The 17,821-nt window shown below is 39.7% G+C and overlaps 1 pseudogene, besides 1 other annotated feature; it reads right to left on the reverse strand.

Annotated features, from left to right (window-relative positions):
• Nucleotides 2,667-3,866: an enhancer, noted in NCBI's record as "MED14-independent group 3 enhancer chrX:41944854-41946053 (GRCh37/hg19 assembly coordinates)". NCBI's record gives its function as "activates an origin of replication core promoter dependent on BRD2, BRD4, P300/CBP and CDK7 cofactors, and independent of MED14, by STARR-seq in HCT116 cells {active_cell/tissue: HCT116}" and the evidence as "EXISTENCE:reporter gene assay evidence [ECO:0000049][PMID:35650434]".
• ATP5MC2P4 (ATP5MC2 pseudogene 4) lies at nucleotides 15,669-16,297 on the reverse strand (annotated as a pseudogene).

A 17,821-nucleotide genomic window follows, 5' to 3' on the forward strand; every position in this document is an offset into this window, starting at 1 on the left:
ATATATAGTAACACTAAAGGAAGGATAAATAAGGTAAATAGCACTGTAAAGTAAGTAAGTGCAGTAGAAAGTGAATTTAGTACTTGATCCGAAGGACCTGGCTCACAGAAAAGGAAGAGGGAGGGAAGAGCAGAGAGGTGGAATGGCATAAGCAATATCATAGTGATGATGGATTAGGTGTTAAGTTGCAGAGGGAGACTGATGGAACTGATCAGGTGGCAGCAGGTGATGAAGGTAAGAACAGGTGATGGGGCTGGGCTCGGTGGCTCACGTCTGTAATCCCAGCACTTTGGGAGGCTGAGGCGGGTGGATCACGCCAGGAGTTCGAGACCACCCTGGCTAACACGGTGAAACCCCGTCTCTACTAAAAATACAAAAAATTAGCCGTGCGTGGTGGTGGGTGCCTATAGTCCCAGCTACTCGGGAGGCTGAGGTAGGAGAATTGCTTGAACCCTGGAGGCAGAGGTTGCAGTGAGCCAAGATTGCACCACTGCACTCCAGCCTGGGCGACAGAGTGAGACTCCGTCTGAAAAACAACAACAACAACAAAAAAAACAGGTGATGGAGGACCCTGACAGCCAGGCAGAAGTCTGGAAACTGGATTGAATTCAGAAACAGGAAAAAGACAGGTTGAAATGATTTAAAAAAATTCTGGCAAATACTATATTGTTTATTTTTAGTTGAGGTATAATTACATAAAATAAGATGGGCAATTCTAAGTGTACAGTTTGATGAATTTTAACAAATGTACACCCATGTAATCATCACCCAGATATAGAATATTTTCATCACCCAAGAAGGGCCCCTTATGAAGTTTCCCAGTCAATAATTGCCCCGTCCTTACCTCTTAACCACTGTTGAGGCATTATTGAACTGTTTTTGAACTTCATATAAATTGAATCATACAGTATGTATTCTTTTATGACTGGCTTCTTTCACTCAGCTTAATTTTTTTGAGATAAGTAGTTTGTTCCTTTTTATTGCTGAGTGATATTCTATTGAAGGAATATACTACAATTTGTTTATCCAGTCTCTTGTTAATGAAAATGTGGGTTGTTTCCAGTTGTGGACTATTATGAATTAAAAAGTCTGTGAGCATTTTTGCACACGTCTTTTGGTGAACATGTGTACTCGTTTCTCTTGGGAATATAATTAGGATTGAGGTCATTGGTTCATAGGGTAGGCACACATTTAGATTTAGTAGTTACTGCCAAATAGTTCTCCAAAATGGTTGCATCAATTTATACTCCCACCAACAATGGGATGGGGGAGAGTTGTGTTTGCTCCACAGCCTTGTCAATACTTGGTATTGTCAATTTTTTTCAATTTTTGCCATTCTGATGGCTGGGGAGTGGAAATGACTTTTTAAAAAGAAAGAATTAATTATATACTAAGTAAAGGATGGATTTGGTGGGAAGGGATACCAGACACAAATAAATCAGTTGTAAAGCTGTTGTCCCAATGCCAATGAGAGGACTCAAGACCCTGGCCTGGGGGACTATAGGAGCTGTGGGAAGAAAGCGTTTAAACTAAGTGACTTTATAGAGCTTGGCAGAGGATCAGAGCTCATTTCTCAGGATGTCCTTTCTACCTAGAAAAATCTTTGCATTTAAGTTATTTGCTGTTAACTGTAGCCAGAAGAGTGGGATCACGTTTATTAAATCTGCCTAAGAGATATCTTATTGTATTGTGGACACTGTAAATATTTGGAGAAATTTACTAAGAGAGCCTGGAGAGGGTTTCAGAAGTGAGAGGGTTTGCCGTGGGTTTAATGAATTGCCACGAGGTTTTTTGTTTTTGTTTTTGTTTTTTTTTTTTTTTGAGATAGAGCTTTGCTCTGTCACCCTGGCTGGAGTGCAATGGCGCGATCTCGGCTCACTGCAACCTCTGCCTCCCGGGTTCAAGCGATTCTCCTGCCTCAGCCTCCGGAGTAGCTGGGATTACGGGCACCCACCACCACATCCGGCTAATTTTTTGTATTTTTAGTAGAGATGATGTTTTGTCATGTTGGCCAGGCTGATCTCGAGCTCCTGATCTCAGGTGATCCACCCGCTTTGGCCTCCCAAAGTGCTGGGATTACAGGTATGAGCCACTGCGCCTGGCCCACACATGAGGATTTTTAATGTACTCTTCTGTTTGCTCCTTGCCTTGAGGACCTGGTGTTAGGATTCCTTCTTTTCTCCCCTATTCCATTGCCCTCCTTCCATTAATCCATCAGTGAATAAACATTTGCTGAGGGCCTGCCCTGTGCTAGGCCCTGGCTGGGCAACACAGTGGATCCAAAAATTAATTTGACATGTTCCAGTCTTCCAGAAGTTCAGTGCATTCAGTAAAGGATTTGAAAAAAAAAAAACAAAAAGCTTACAATACCAGGAAATGCTGTGTAAATCCCCACTGTCCTGTGTCTGTGAGTCTGTGACCACCCCTCTTCCAAATTACTGCTTAGGACTATTCAATGAAAAGAGTGAGTAGCTAGGTTTGAAATGGAGGGTGAGTAGTGGGGAAGGTGTCTTGTTTGAGGTGGCAGCTAGGTTAAGCTGAAGATGGATAAGATTTCAATAGCAGAGATGAGGGAAAGGTATGATAATAAGAAACAGCCTGAGTAAAGGTGTGGAGAGGCAAAATGTAAGGCACAGTGAGGGAATTACAAATAGAATTTGGCCAGAGCACAGGGTGTATAGAGAGGAGTATATCAAGTAGGAAGGCAGGACGGACTGTGGGCCAGAGTAGGAGCCAGGTTACAAATGTTGTCGATTTCATGGGCAATAGGGAACCACTAAAGGTTTTTGGTGAAAGCAATGTAATCAGAGCTGCCTTTTGCAAAGACGACTCTGGCAGTGATGAGCTGCAAGACTGAAGACACAATAATGTTTTAGGATGCTATTACAATAGTCCAAGGAAGAATTAATGAGGGCATGTATTAGGTTTGTTGGGATAGAAAGGAGGCGATAGGTAACATGAGCAATAATTAAAAAAAAATATGGAGATCAGAGGGGAAAGGGATGGCAGAACAGAAACAACTGTTTTACCTTTCTTTCACACGCTGTATTTTGAACATGAGCCAAACTTCGTGTGAAGTAGGTGTGGGTGTTGATCAGGATTGCATTCCTGATAGCTGAGCTGTGGGTAAGAGGTCAAACGGACAGAACCCAGAGTGGAACATTCTGCTGTGCTCAACATGGAATTCCTTAGGAAACAAAACCCAACCAAAGTCAAAAGCCCTGTTCCTCAACTCCACACTTTTCCTGCTGCTGCTCCATCTCTCTTGTGCCTGCCTTTCAACATCAAACTTCTAGAAAAAGTTGCACATTCTCAATGCCATTACCTTTTCACTTCTTATCCACTCAGCTCTCTCTGATCTGGCTCTTAACTCCTTCACTGCAAGAAAACTGTGTTCATTATGTCACCAGGGCCTTCCATGTTGCTAGAGTTAATGGCTATTCTTCTAGTCTCAGCTTACCTGCAGTATCAGGTGTGTCCAAGCCTGTCAGCCATTCCCCCTCTTTAGAATGCTCTCCTTTCCTGGATTCTGTGACCCTGCTCCTTGTATTTTTCTCATTACCTCATTGACTACTCGTGCTCATTCTTCTTTTCTAGCACATCCTCCTCTACTAGGCCACTACATATTGGAGATGTTAGGCCTTCTTTTGTTTTTACTCTATGCTCTTTCCTTAAGTGACCCTGTAGATACTCATAACTTCTGTTTTTATCTATATGCTAATGATGTATACATTTCTAGCTCCAGTCTAGATGCCTCTCTGCTGAGCAGCAGACCTGTAAACCCAACTGTCTGTTAAACATGTTCACTTGACTGTCCCCAAAGTAGCTCAAACTCAGCATGTGCAAAACTGAATTCATGATCTCTTCCCTCCAACACTTCCTCTGTGGTAAGCGGCACCACCGGCCATCCATGTATGCATGCCAGAAGGTGGAAAAACAGTCTTGACCACCACCTCTCTCTTAATTCTTCATATCAAATCCATTAATTTCTTATTGATTTTACTTGTTAAAATATTTCTTAAACTCATTCATTTCTTCACCCAAGTCTTGGTTACCAACAACTCCCATCTTGACCACTATCATGAACTTAACCTGAATCTGAGCCCAAGCTGCCCTCTACTTCAATGCGTCTTCCACTCAGAGCCAGTGTGAACTTAAATAGGCCTAAATAGGATAATGTTATTGTCTTCTTAAGCAATTTGAATTGTTTTCCATTGCTCACAGAACAAAAGCCATAATGTTCATCTGGCCTTAAAGGCCCTGCAAGGGCTGGTCATTCCTATCCTCTTCGGCCTAACCCCTCCCCACTTTCCTCCATTCCCTTCTTTATGCTGCAGCCGCTCAGACCTTCTCTCTGTTCCTCCTTCGCCACAAAACCCACTCTTCCAACAGGACTTCTGCAGCTTCAGATTGCCCAGAATTATCCCCTCTCACCACTCCTCTGCCCAGTTAACTTCTACTCATGGTTTGAATCTCAGATTATGTACCACTTGCTCAGGGAAGTCTTCCTTGATGCCCTAATTTAGATCATACTAGACCTCCTCCCCACTTGTTATATAATATGTTCCTAGCCCTGGGTACCTTTCCTTGACGGCACTTTGCACAGCTTATAATGACCCACCTATTACTTTGATTATTTGATTAAGGTTTGTCTAACCCACCAGACTATAAATTCTATGAGGGCAGGAACTGTGTCAAGTTTTTACTCACCCTTGTTTGGTGACATGATTGGTAGTGTCTGGAGCACAGTAAGTGTTCAATAAATACATGCCGAATAAATAAATTAGCAAATGGGGTGAGTTAAGCTTTATTACACTGTGTCTCATGGAGGGCTATTGGAGAAGCCTTCAGTGCACACAGTGGCTCTGCCATCAACAATGCCAGCTAAGTATGTTAATAAATATTCTAATCAGAGGTTGAAAATTGGTGATCCTGGGCCACATACAGCCTGGTAGAAATTTTTAGTTTGGCCTGCACAATGGTTTGGGAAAAATTCAAACTGTATGCAAAGATTTCAAAATGTGGAGATTTCATTGTAAAAATCTGGTTTTCTCTTTTTTCCTGAAAAATAAAGCTCTTGCATCACTGGGCCCACATTTCCTTGTAGCAATCATTGAATGAAGTTGAAAAGAGGCTGCCCCATTATGATGAGACATTAGCTCTTCAACTCTATTGTCACCAACTAGCCTCCCTCACTCATTTAATTACCAGCCTGGCCTGTAGGGGCATATCCCTTATCAAGTTTGCTATTTTTGGTCTAATCCTCCTTTATTAGAAATGGTTGGACCCAGCTAATTGGGTAGCCTGAAAAACCCCTGAATTGTTGCCATGAAAAAACACAATTTCTTTTTCTTGATTCTTAGGAGGTTTTCTTAGAAATGCAGAATTCTTTTATCTAACCCTTTCATTTTAGAGATGAAAGGGCTGAGGGCCAGAGTAGGTAATGACTTGCCCAGGCTCACAGAGCGACTTCTTTGTCTTTTGACTGGTGTGCTTAGAAATACCAAAAAAATATTTAGGGAAATGTATTCCTTTATAAATTTTCCATTTTAATTTTTTATCTTCTTAAATCTAGAAGAATTAATTTAAATACAGGAATTGATCTTTCAAGTCTCAAGTTAATCTCGTTAATTTTTTCCTTGAATTGTTTGGGAAACTTAGTGTTGGTTGTGTAGAAGTGATAGTGTGGCAGTAGTAGTAGTGAAACTGCCTTTGCAAAAATTATAACTGAGACAGTGAAAGAGATCCTGACCTAACTGGCTCCATCTTGCTTCTAACCTCCGAGCTGGGCTTGTTCATTCCTGGGTGTAGGCCGAACTTTGGGAGGAACTTAGTTTACGGTTTAGCTTTGAAAAAAGAAGATAACAGCCCTTCCCCAAATAAACCCCCCTCTTGCCTGGGGATAGTCTGACTTTGCAGGACTAACAAATTGGCTACAAGATTAGAAATTACAGTTTAGGGGCCATGCAGCGTCTGGATGCAAGAATCTGAACCTCCCCAAATTGTTCCTGGGGATAACATCATTTTGTAAAAACTAAGATCAGTGCTTGAGATATTTTGCAGACTCCACAGTCGACGGATCAGCTGACACCACCTGGGCCTTTTATCTGGCTCAACGCGTTCTGCCATCCCACCCAGGAACAAAAAAACTCAAGAAAAACAGCAAGAAAAACTCACTTTGACTCCCCTATAATTCCATCTCTAACCTGACCAATCAGCACTCCCCACTTCTCGAGCCCCTATCCACCAAATTATCCTTAAAAACTCTGATCCTGGAATGCTCAGGAAGACTGATTTGAATAATAATAAAACTCCAGTCTCCCGCACAGCTGGCTCTGTGTGAATTACTCTTTCTTCGTTGCAATTCCCCTGTCTTGATAAATCAGCTCTGTCTAGGCAGCTGGCAAGGTGAACCCATTGGGCAGTTACAGTAGTAGTAGTAATAGTAGTAGTAGTAGTAGTAGTAACAAAACCCAGTATGTGAAAATGTGAATTGATAATCCCGGGCTAATAGTTTCCTTCTAGAAAGGCTGCTGATTTTTTTTTCTTTGTGGGTTTTCTGTCTGAGCCTGTGAATTTTGATTCCAGTTTTATATTTAGCTTTTTAAAAAACCGAGGTAAAATGCATATACACAGTGATAAAATGTATGACTGTAGCCATTTTAAAGTGTACAATTCAGAAAATGGAAACCCCACATTCATATCCCTGTTTCTGCCTACCCCCAGCTCCTGGCAACCACAAATATGCTTTCTGTCTCCATGGATTTAAGAATCAAACAATATGTGACCCTTTGAGTCTGACTTATTTCACTTAGCATAATGTTTTCAAGGTTCACCCATGTTGTACCATATATCAGTGCTTTATTACATTTTATAAGTGGATAATATTCTACTGTATGGATGAGCTACACTTTGCTTATCCATTCATCCATTGATGGACATTTAGGTTGTTTCCCCCTTTTTGCTATTGTAAATAAAGTTGCTATGAACACTCATGTACAAGTTTTTTTAAAATGCTGATTTATGAAGTTTGTATTTCAGGAACTCATTTATCATTTCTGAAATATTGCTTGTCTACTGTGAATAAAGGTAAAAAAAGGAGTCGGCAGGTCAACCAAGTGTCAATTTCTATTGATTTCTCTTCTGTATCTCTGTATCTGGCTTGAAATTGCAGACATTTACAGGCAAGAAATAGCAGTTCATTTTCAGTAGGCATCTATCTGGAAAGTACCAGGTGCTTTAAACAAATTACGAAGAAGAAATCAAACTAACCAAGTGATGTAGCCATTATAAGCTATCAAATCTTATGGGAGAAAGTATGGATCTTATTCAGGAAGGTATCGACAAAAGAAGAGCTTAGCTCTGAGTCAAGGTACATCTGTTGAGCTTTTCACTTTCATTCAACAAACATGTATTGAGTGCCCACAAGGCTGATCTTATGCACAAAGGGAGATTAGAGTCTAGTGAGGAAATGTAGACATTAAGTAAATACACACGTGTAATTACAAATAGTCCTTGAAAAAAGTGTGTAAGGAGTATGACAGTACATAATAGGGCTACCTGCTCTCTTCTGGGGGCTATGACAAAGCCTTGCTTTGTGAGAGTTAACAAGGTGGGCAAACAAGTATTGAGTACCTAATGTGTGCTGGTTACTGCCATAAATGTTTTGACTTCAAGGATGAGTAAGAAGTGGCCTTTGCTCAGAAGAAATTTTGTTTTCTAGAGAATGGTTAGGAAACCCCCTCCTGTATCATTTACTATCAAATGCTTTATCTTAATGAATGACAAAGAAAGGGCTCCTGGAACCCATTCATTTTCCTGGGAGCTTCCAGGGGAGCTCTCTCAGAGAAAGGCTCAGTATAGGCAGAGGAATTTTTACAGGAACGTTTTCAAATTCTTCAATTTTAATTCAGATCTAAAGTTTGATAGCTGACATCACGCCAATGCACTCCAGCCTGGGCCACAGAGTGAGACTCCCATGTTGAAAAAAAAATTTCATCTTGACCATAAGATATAACTTCCATAAGCCTTTCATAAACTTTATAAGCTTTATTAAGGAGTTGGTTAAGCCTTCAAGAAAATCTTGTTAATCTGACACAGAGGCCCATGTGCTTGTCTTGCATCAGTGTGCTTTTGACATTAATGATTCATTTATAGAGAAACTGAACTTATTTTATCTCTCAAAATCAGCCCTTACAATCTCACACACCCCACCTCTTCTGCAATAGTCCCTGGGTCTTGAGGAGTTGAATAGCTTTAATTTCTGGCCCTGTGTCTGAGGAATGCCGTTTATTTTGACTGGCATCTTCTGCCAGGCCTGAAGATGAGGCTTTAATTGCTATCAGTGTTTAAGATTTAGCAGGACTTGGTGTCCCTTTTAGACCCAGGAGTCAAAACCCTGTAACTCAATGTCACAAGTACTTCAAAAGCACATACAGAAAGGTACATAAATGTAATAACCTTAATTAAATTTTTTTAATTTCCGTTTTTTTCCTAAGCAAACCAAAACTTAATAATAATGGCGTAGGAATTGTTTCAATAAACTGTAAAATCTGTTAGGCCAGTTACCAAAAGGCAAAAGAAAAGACCTTCTGTACTACACAGAATATTATGTTGGTAGAAAACATTTTCTTTACACCTTTAATAAAACTTCTTTAGCATCAGGGCCGCAACAAACAGAACTTGAGGAAAAAAACTTATATGAGCTGAATATGAGTTGGAGAGAATTACTGTTTCATGCCCTTTAAAAGGGGAGAAAAAACTGAAAACGGTGAGAGGCACTAACAGTTGAACTTTGGGTTAAAAAAATTAAAATCTCTTGTAATTTATTAAGAGTAAGTCAATCCCTTATGAAAATTTCATTGTTCTAACCAATTATTTAGTGTATAAGTGTTTTTTTTAACACCTGTAATTTCCCTTTAATTACAGACAAGTTGATCATATAAAAGTTTCTTTTAAATAAATCCTCCTATTGTGATTTAAACAGACTGTTCATGACACACTTGAACTTTCTGGTTTGTCCTGAACATCCCTCTTTCTTAAACAATCAGTCACTTTATTCTAGAACTAAATTTACCGTACAAGATTCTTTCTCATATAAAATTATTTCTCTTTAAGCTTTCTTACCAAAAAACCTCTTTGTTTTTATAACTTTATTTACATCTTTCTTATTTCCTCGTTCCCTTTACCTTGTTTTATACATGACCTTTAAATAAGCTTTGAATTAGACAAAAATTGTTCACCTTTTAAAAAAAACATTTTTTTGAAAGAATGTTTTCCTACAATAGATTTTTATTGGAAAATACCCAAATAATGAAATATCTATTATTTAATATAACTTTAGATTGTAAATTATGATGCATTTGTCTACCACACTTTAGATTGTAAATTATGATGAATTTGTCTACCAGTACTTATTCCATTACATTTACCTAATTATTTTATTTTAATTGTTTGCCTAGATTATTTATGAAAACTGCGATAGTCATCATTTAAAGCTACAGAACCACTGTTGCAAAATTATAACTGAGACAGTGAAAAAGCTCTGATCTAACTCACTCCATCTTGCTTCTAACTTCCAAGCTGTCCTTTTTCATTCCTGGGCATAGGCCAAACTAACTTTGGGAGGAACTCAGTTTATAGTTTAGCTTTGAAACAAAGACAGCAATAGTCCTTTGCCAAAACAAACCTTACTGCCTATGGACTAGACCACTTAAAATCACAAGATTAGAAGTTATGGTTATCTTACTAAATTCAAGATATAGCTATTTTCATGAAACCTATATTAATGTCTTATTTATTAAAAATTACATAAGCAAAGATCATTCTGTCTTGGTTGGGTTTATAGTTTTATAACCCTATGCCAAATTTTGAAACCTTATAGTATTTGTCAGGAATAAGTGTGAAATTGCTTGATTAATAAATGCAAACAAAAATGTATACTGGCAATTCTTAAGACATTTCTAATATTACTTTAGCAATAATTTTAAAGCTAGCTTATTTATTAAAGATTTTACTTGTTACGTAAACATGAAAAAGCATTTGACTAGTCTTTTCTTTTTTTCCTGATAAAGTATTTGATTCAAGCACTTTTATATTCTTAAGCCAATTAATTAGAGCTCTTTTATATATTTTCAGTAGTGAAACACTGTGTATACAACACATAAATACATAGATGTATTAGGCATGTCAATAGAAGTACATCTTATAGGGTCATAAAGACCCTTTTTTCTCCTATCTTAGACTTTCAAATTGATGATAACCTGTTTCACAAGCCTAGGCAGTTGTCAGCTAAATAGCCTTAAATTTGCAAATTAAAGGAAACAACTCAGGTGAAAATCAAATAGCAAAATTTACATCATAAGGTACGGAGAGAAAAAGTATGATGTGCTAGAGGGAAATTAAAACTGATTTAATTGCCAACTAAAATTATAAAAATGATAGAAATTATAAAGGCCTTTTAAATATATATACACACATATACACACACATACAAAGATCCTATAGCTTCTACTTCAGAACTTTAGCCATGAGATAAATACAAATTCACCACTTTGCAAAAAAACCTGTTGGATCCAAACAGTGGTTTTTATCTTAATTAAAAAAAACCAGCAGATTTAAAGCATGCAGAAAAGAAAGTAGAAAGAAAGAGAACTTGAGAACTCTGTAGTTTTAAGGTCAACCTTAAGATTCTTTTTCCTTAATGCAAATGTGCACATAGACCATATTCTTTCCATTTTACATCTATAAAACCTATGGAGTGCTCAAAAGGGGGGGTCATTCTCCTTGTTTTCTCCTCATTCTTAGATTATTTGTTATCTACTTTGTCTTAAAAGGAGAAGCTGAGATATGACCTAGGGTTTTTGTGTGGTGGATCTGTGTCTGCTGCTTGTGGGCAGGACAACACAGTGTATCACCACTGAGTCGTTTCCACCCTTTTACGTGTTTCAGTTTCTCTCTCCCGAGGTCTGTGACCTCTGAGAGGGCTCAGAATGCCAGCTGATTAGCCCTTATATGCGTTTCCTGGATGAGCTATTTTTTAAAACAGTAATTTTTGTTGGGAATTTCCCTGTAGGGCTGCTGCATGTCACAGGGGGGTCAACCCCCCAGACACTCCCATGAGGTCCCTGGTCACCCAGGGGCACCTTTTGGCTGGGAGGAGAAAAATGCCCTTTCTCTTCCGAGCTGAGAAAACTGTCTCTCATTTACCGATGAAAACAACTGTTCTGTTCCTCATGCAAATGCACACAGACAAGCCAAAATGAAATTAATTTGGGGAGAAAAAGCAATAGGGAAGACCCTTTAGAATGTATCTTCGAACTAGAATTAAGATCCTTAAACAACTTCCTAGGAGAAAAGAAAAAAAACAACAGCCAAGACCACTTCCTGTAAACTGTGCTCAGCCACCCCTAAATTTGTAGCTCTCGTATGCTATTACACACACCAAACTCAAATCCTCTCACAGTACAAGGTAATCTCTGGTATCCCTAAAGAGGTCGGGTTATGCAATACAGGAAAACAGAACTTTAGACCTAAGAAGAATCTGCCCATGACTCTTGAAACTCCAAAGAAAGCAGAACTCCCCCAAAGGGGTGAGTGGGGCATTTGTTCTGATTCATTTAAAGGGGTTCGAATCATTAGAAGCCTTCTCTAAATTTTTTGGTACTGCAGATGGCAAACGGGGAAGGCGGTATAGGGTGGAAGAAAAGTAAACGAAAGAACATTTGTTGTTTTTTAAGACAGGAAGCAAATACAGAAACCAAGTGCATTTTTTTCCCTCTTTTGCAGCTGCAAGGAGTTTTAGCCAAATTAGAGAGGATTTGTTACTCATAATTTGGAATTCTCACTCGGATTTGACCAAGTCAGGTAGAGTTAGTCAAATCTGATGGGAGAAAGACCGGAACAAACAATAAAAATACCCCCAACAATATGATCACTGAGCGCTGTAATGGTAAGGGGAAATTAAGACCAGCTGGTTGTTAAACTTTAGCCAAGACAAAACCCCAATTCTGCTACTTACCTAGGGATGGGTCTCAGGCTAAAGGCTGCTTTCTACCATCCTAGAAGCAGGAAAAAAACCTCAAACTCGTCCTCCCTGCCGGGAGCAAGCTCAAACTCCATAAAGGAGTTACCTGCCTTCCATCATTATGGAAGCTGAAAAGCTTGCCTTTCTTGTTGGAAGCAAGTAAAAATCCAAAAAAAAGGGGTTATACAGCAAAATAAACTTTTGATTTCAATCAAATTTTGGGAGATCAGGGATTTTCTGGAGTAAGTGCTCCCAGACCTCAGCAAATTGTCCTATTGGTTTGAGCCATAAAGTTAGCTCATGCTGGTACCAAGCACTGATAGCAGATTTGTCAAAGGTCAGGGGTACCTCCACCCGGAATCCCTCCATCGTTACCAAAATGTGAAACCCGAATATCTGAGATAGGTCTCAGTTAATTTAGAAAGTTTATTTTGTCAAGGTTGAGGACGTGCACCTGTGACACAGCCTCAGCAGGTCCTGACGACATGTCCAAGGTGGTCAGAGCACAATTTTTTTTTATACATTTTAGAGAGACATGAGACATCAATCAACATATGTAAGATGAACATTGGTTCGGTCTGGAAGGGCGGGACAACTCGAAGAAAACGGGGGACAACTCGAAGTGGGGAGGGAGCTTCCTGGCCATAGGTAGACAAGAGACAAATGGTTGCATTCTTTTGAGCTTCTGATTAGCCTCTCCAAAGGAGGCAATTAGATATGCATTTATAATAAAATGGGAGACAGGTTTTTCCCAGTTCCCAGCTTAACTTTTCCCTTTAGCATAGTGATTTTGGGGCCCCAAGATTTATTTTCCTTTCACAATATGATTAGGTTAATAGTGATTTGTCTTATAACCTTTCAGGAACCCCTTTACTGAAAATGAGAATATTGTGAATAAATTATCATTTACATGCTCCCATTGTGGAATGTGATCATAATTTTAGCAAAGGGCTTGCTGATTACTGGACTGAGAATCACCAAAGAAGTGAGATAAAATGTGTGGAAGGGTTTGGAAGGCCTCTGCAAAGAGCAGGGAGAAGGGAGTGGAGAAAGATAAGGCAAAAGCACACAGAAATGAAAAAGAGTACAGTAGGTCCTCTGTACCTGATGGTTCCATATCAGCAGATTCAACCTACTGCAGATCAAAAGTATTTGAAAAAAATAATGAGAAATAAAAATAAAATCCTAAGACCCCCAACTGACTGAACAGACCTCCTCTTGGCTAAGGGGAATCCCAGAGAAACCTGAAAAGTGGAGTTCCTGGCCATGAAAGGATAGGAGGTAAGACATGCCTCAATAGGCCTTTTTCTTATTAATTTTTAACCCAAATTCTTTCCTAAAGAGTAAGCAGAAATCAGTGGTGGAAAATCAGAAATGGACGACTCATTCCTTTATCATCCTTAGCCAAGTATCTGGGGCAGTGACCAGATTTTCCTTCCCGTTTGTGGTTTCAACACAGCAACTGACCAGCATTCCTTCCTGATAAGAGGCCACCGATCATGGAGTGGTTCCGGCCGGTCTACAAATGACGTACAGTGAGGGTTTTCACGTCCTCTGCTTCACCTTTTGACATCAGAAGGCTGAGAACTCCACCCTCTGATCATGCTAACACACCATTTTTTGTACATGTGACCCATGAAGAGGCATGAAATTCGATTGGATATATGCATGCTTCTTTCATAAATATTCATAAATCCTCCTACAGCTTATTAAATATGTATACTTACACAACCCATCCAGCACAAATTCCTTTCTTATCCTTCCCTCCCTCAAAGTGTTTGCTCTCAGCTTTTACTGGAAGCTACGCATCCCAGCCTGTGGCATGGCCAGCCTGCAGGCTGCAACCCTTTATGAGAAATACAGCTCTCCTTTCCAAATTTATAAACCTTGTGGTTCTTCAGTTGACAATAACAATACAACAGTAAAAAAAATCCAAATAAAATATAGTATAACAATTATTTACATAGCATTTATAATGTATTAAGTGTTATAAGTAATCTAGAGATAATTCAAACTATATGGGAGGATGTGTGTAAGTTATATGCAAATATTGCACCATTTTATGTAGAAGACTTGAGCATCCACAGATTTTGGTATTCTCTTGGAGTGCTGGAACCAATCCCCTGTGGATATGGAGGGATGGACAACTATATTATGAAGTGTGGGTATGACTGAGAACCAAATGACATTGCCTCAGTATCAGTGGTCAGTTGCCTGAAGAGTCTTGAGCCCCTCAAGCTGAGCCAGTGGGAAGAACAATTTTGTGGGGCCTATGCCTGTTAAAACTGCTCTTTCAGACTAGATAGTTCTAGCAGAATCTTAGTGGTCCCCAGCCTGTTTGGAAATGCCTGGAACTTTTTCAACAAAAGCAGAGACTCTTCCTTGATGGTGGAGAAGCACAAAGGGGAGCCAGGAAAAAGCACACATTTTGCTCAAGAAAGCTTTGGAGAAACAAAAATTGTAGAGAGAAAGTAAATGAACACTACAGAATCAAAACAAAAACAAAATCACTATTTATGAAGAAAAACTGGAAGGAAATACAGTTGATATGGTGATGGGATTTGAGCTATCCTTTATTCCAAATTTTCTGCGATGTGATTATATTGTAAGTTTTTCATTTTAAGAGAAAGTAATTCCGGCAGTTTGGTGTGTGTGTGTGTGTGTAATGGGGTAGCGGGTGGTGAGCAAGCCCTGGACTTGTAGTCAGGGGCTCTAGGTTAAACTTTAGCTCTGTTACCAGCTGCTCACTTCTGAGCTAGTTATTTAACTCCTCTCTGCCTTGGTTTCCTTATGTTGAAAGCTGAAATCAACATAAATTCCGTTCCTGTGTTTAACAATACTGAGACCAGGCATATGTTCCTGTTCCCATGTTAAAAAATACTGAGAACAAACAAAAATAACTTAAGCTACTTGCTCTAGGAAATAATAGTTCCTAGAAGATAAGACTGTTAACTAACTAAAATAACTCACCTATGAAGACTAACAGCTTACTCATAAAGACTCGTTCAAGTCTTTCCTGTGCCCACCAATCCAAAGCTAGTATGTCGTAAACTCGGCCCAGTCCTAGTTTTGCACCTTGTAAAACTCACCTTAAAATCACCCAGCTCAGGCCCTAAAACTCTATAAAGATACTTCCAACTTACCCCTTCTGAGACACTACTAAGACTGTCAAGATGGTGTTCTTCCTTACCGCAGTGAGTCTGATCAGGATACCCCTCAACTGCTTTGCATGGTACTGTAACAGGTTCTCCTGGCAGGTTTTTTGAGGACTTGACAATATGTAAAAGAGGATGGTTGGACTCTATACTCTCAGAAGTCCCTTTTATTTCTCACTTTCTCAAATTCGTGTTGGTGACATTTTCTTCTTGTTGGCTGTCTTTCTGACATGGATTCAGTCACTTTTACAAACTATTTTTTCAGGCTTTGTTATTTTTCTTTTTCCTTCCTTAATTTGAAAGTGCAGTCTAAGCTGGGCATTTCAGAGGAACAGCCACTGGTAGGTTCCAGCTGCAATTAAGAAGCTGAAAGATGGATAGTGGTGATGGTTGTGCAACCATGTGAATGTATTTAATGCTACAGAACTGTACAATTAAAATGGTAAAAATGATAAATTTTGTTATGTATATTTTACCAGAATTTTTTTTCTTATTAATACAGTATTTGTTTGTCTTTTCTCTGTCAAAACCTGAGCCAACCACGTTCCCCAGGCTGCCTGAGGAGGTATAGGAAAAGGAACACACAGGGCTGACCACACGTGGGAGAAAGAACTATGGGAGGTGGAGATGGCTCCTTCACATGGCAGAGAGGATGAGAAAGGCCACCATCAGGCAAAAGCACCCCATGGCGTCTCAGAGGGCAAAGCCCAGAGTGGCGTAGGAGAAGAGCTGTTGCTTCAGAGAAGGGTTCCTGGCATAACCAATGATGAGGCTCCCAAACACAGTCCCAATCTGAGCCGCAGAGCCAGCCACCCCAACTGCGGCAGCCCCAGCTCCAGTGAACTTGGCTGTTGTGTCGATGTCCCTTGAAATGGTGCTGGTTTGGAAGCTGCGGCTAGAGACAAGTGAGGTAAGGGGACGTGAGACTGCCAAGCTGCTGAGGCTCTCATCTGTCAGTATCTCCGGTCATTTCAGCACCACTGCAGATAGCTGACGGCTCAGCAGCTGTGAGGTGCTCTTGACCAATGAGGGAGAGGAGACGAGCTTGGAGCAGGCGAACGTTTTCCGGGGCTGAGGGGCTGTAGCAGGAGAGCTGCTCCCACTGCAGAGAAGACAGTACCAGAATTTTTTTAAAAGAAGAAGCTAAAGGCAATTTCCTCTTTCCAATATTTACACTGGCACCATAGGATGCCAGCAAAGGGCTGCTGGAAACTGTTCCTCTTCTAGGTTAAAAGACATATACACGAAATGTACAGGTCTAGAGCTTGTTAGAGTAAGGAGGTGCTCAGTGTCCAGCCTCCTCCTCCTCCTTTCTCCTTCTTCTCCGGGGAAGAGTAGGAGAGGCAACACTTTCTTTCCTATTCCTATTTAGCTGGATTTCAAACCTAAGAGTATAAAGACAGAGTGGGTAAATACCCAGAACCTGGTTCAGGAACGTCTTGGTTCAGTACACCCCTCTATTCTGACCCAATTTTTGCACTGGTGGATTGGGGTACAATGACAAGAAGGGTAACGTTATGGTTAGACCAATGTTAAGTTTAGGGAGAAGGTGGATGTAACTTGAGGAGAGGCAGACGTGGTTAGAAATGGCAGACACAAGCAGTATATCTGAGTATCAATTTTTCTTTGGCAGCGAAAGCATAAGGAATACACAGGTTATTTTATGTACATATAAGCTCGATAAATCTGGCATTTCTAGCTCTCACCAAAAGGTCCATCCAGTGTCAGCTATATGATTTGTGGGGCCCAGTGCAAAATGAAAAGGCAAGGTCCTTTGTTCAAAAAGCAGTGAAAAAATGCTGTTTAAAAAAGCAGTGAAAAAAGCTTTAAAATATAAAGCTTTTCCCTTTCGTCCATGGTCTCTCTCTTTGGACTTTCATGGTGTTTTCTATCTGTGATTTAATGTAGTTCTAAGTGAAGAAAAATTAAAATCTTAAATTATTAGAATGAATTTTACCATTCATTTTTGTACTGTGCAATGACAGTTTTAAATGCAAATATAAGAGTATTTAAGTCATATGTGGAATAATCAAATACGCGATTTGTCTTTTGTAGTTTGTATGTGTGTATGTGTTTCATTCTTATCAGAACAGTGGGAATGCTGCAGAAAAGAACCATTTTTATTCTACTTCTTGATGTACACACATTCTACCAACACTCTCTACCTTCAGCTTACTGATGAGTAAGGAAGAGTTGAAAGGAAAGGAAAAGGTTTGCAAAGACAGGGCAACCTTTTCCTTTCCTTCTATGTTATCATTTTCTGTGGAAGTGGTTGGTTAACATGGAGGAGTAATATGAGTAAGAAAGTATATGATAGAGTTCCTTGGTCATTCGTGTTTCGGAGAATGTCATTGCTTTCTTTCTGTGTTCAAAGCAAATTCTAGTTTGTATGGAAAACATGATCTCTCAGGACTGTCAGCAATCACACTTATTTACTCATGGGTGTAACACACTTACCTTGTACTTGCTGTGGGTCTCAGTGAACTCTCATGCATTGCGGGCCCATTGGAATTCTGTGCTTATGGAGCATCACAAAAGCTATATCTGAATGGGGTGGCAAGAAATGGTGGACACACATACAGTGTGTATCTCCTCTGCTCATGCTCCATTGAAATCCCATTGGACATCTACAAAACATAAC

This window comes from Homo sapiens, chromosome X (assembly GCF_000001405.40).
Source record: "Homo sapiens chromosome X, GRCh38.p14 Primary Assembly".
NCBI classification, from domain to species: Eukaryota; Metazoa; Chordata; class Mammalia; order Primates; family Hominidae; genus Homo; species Homo sapiens.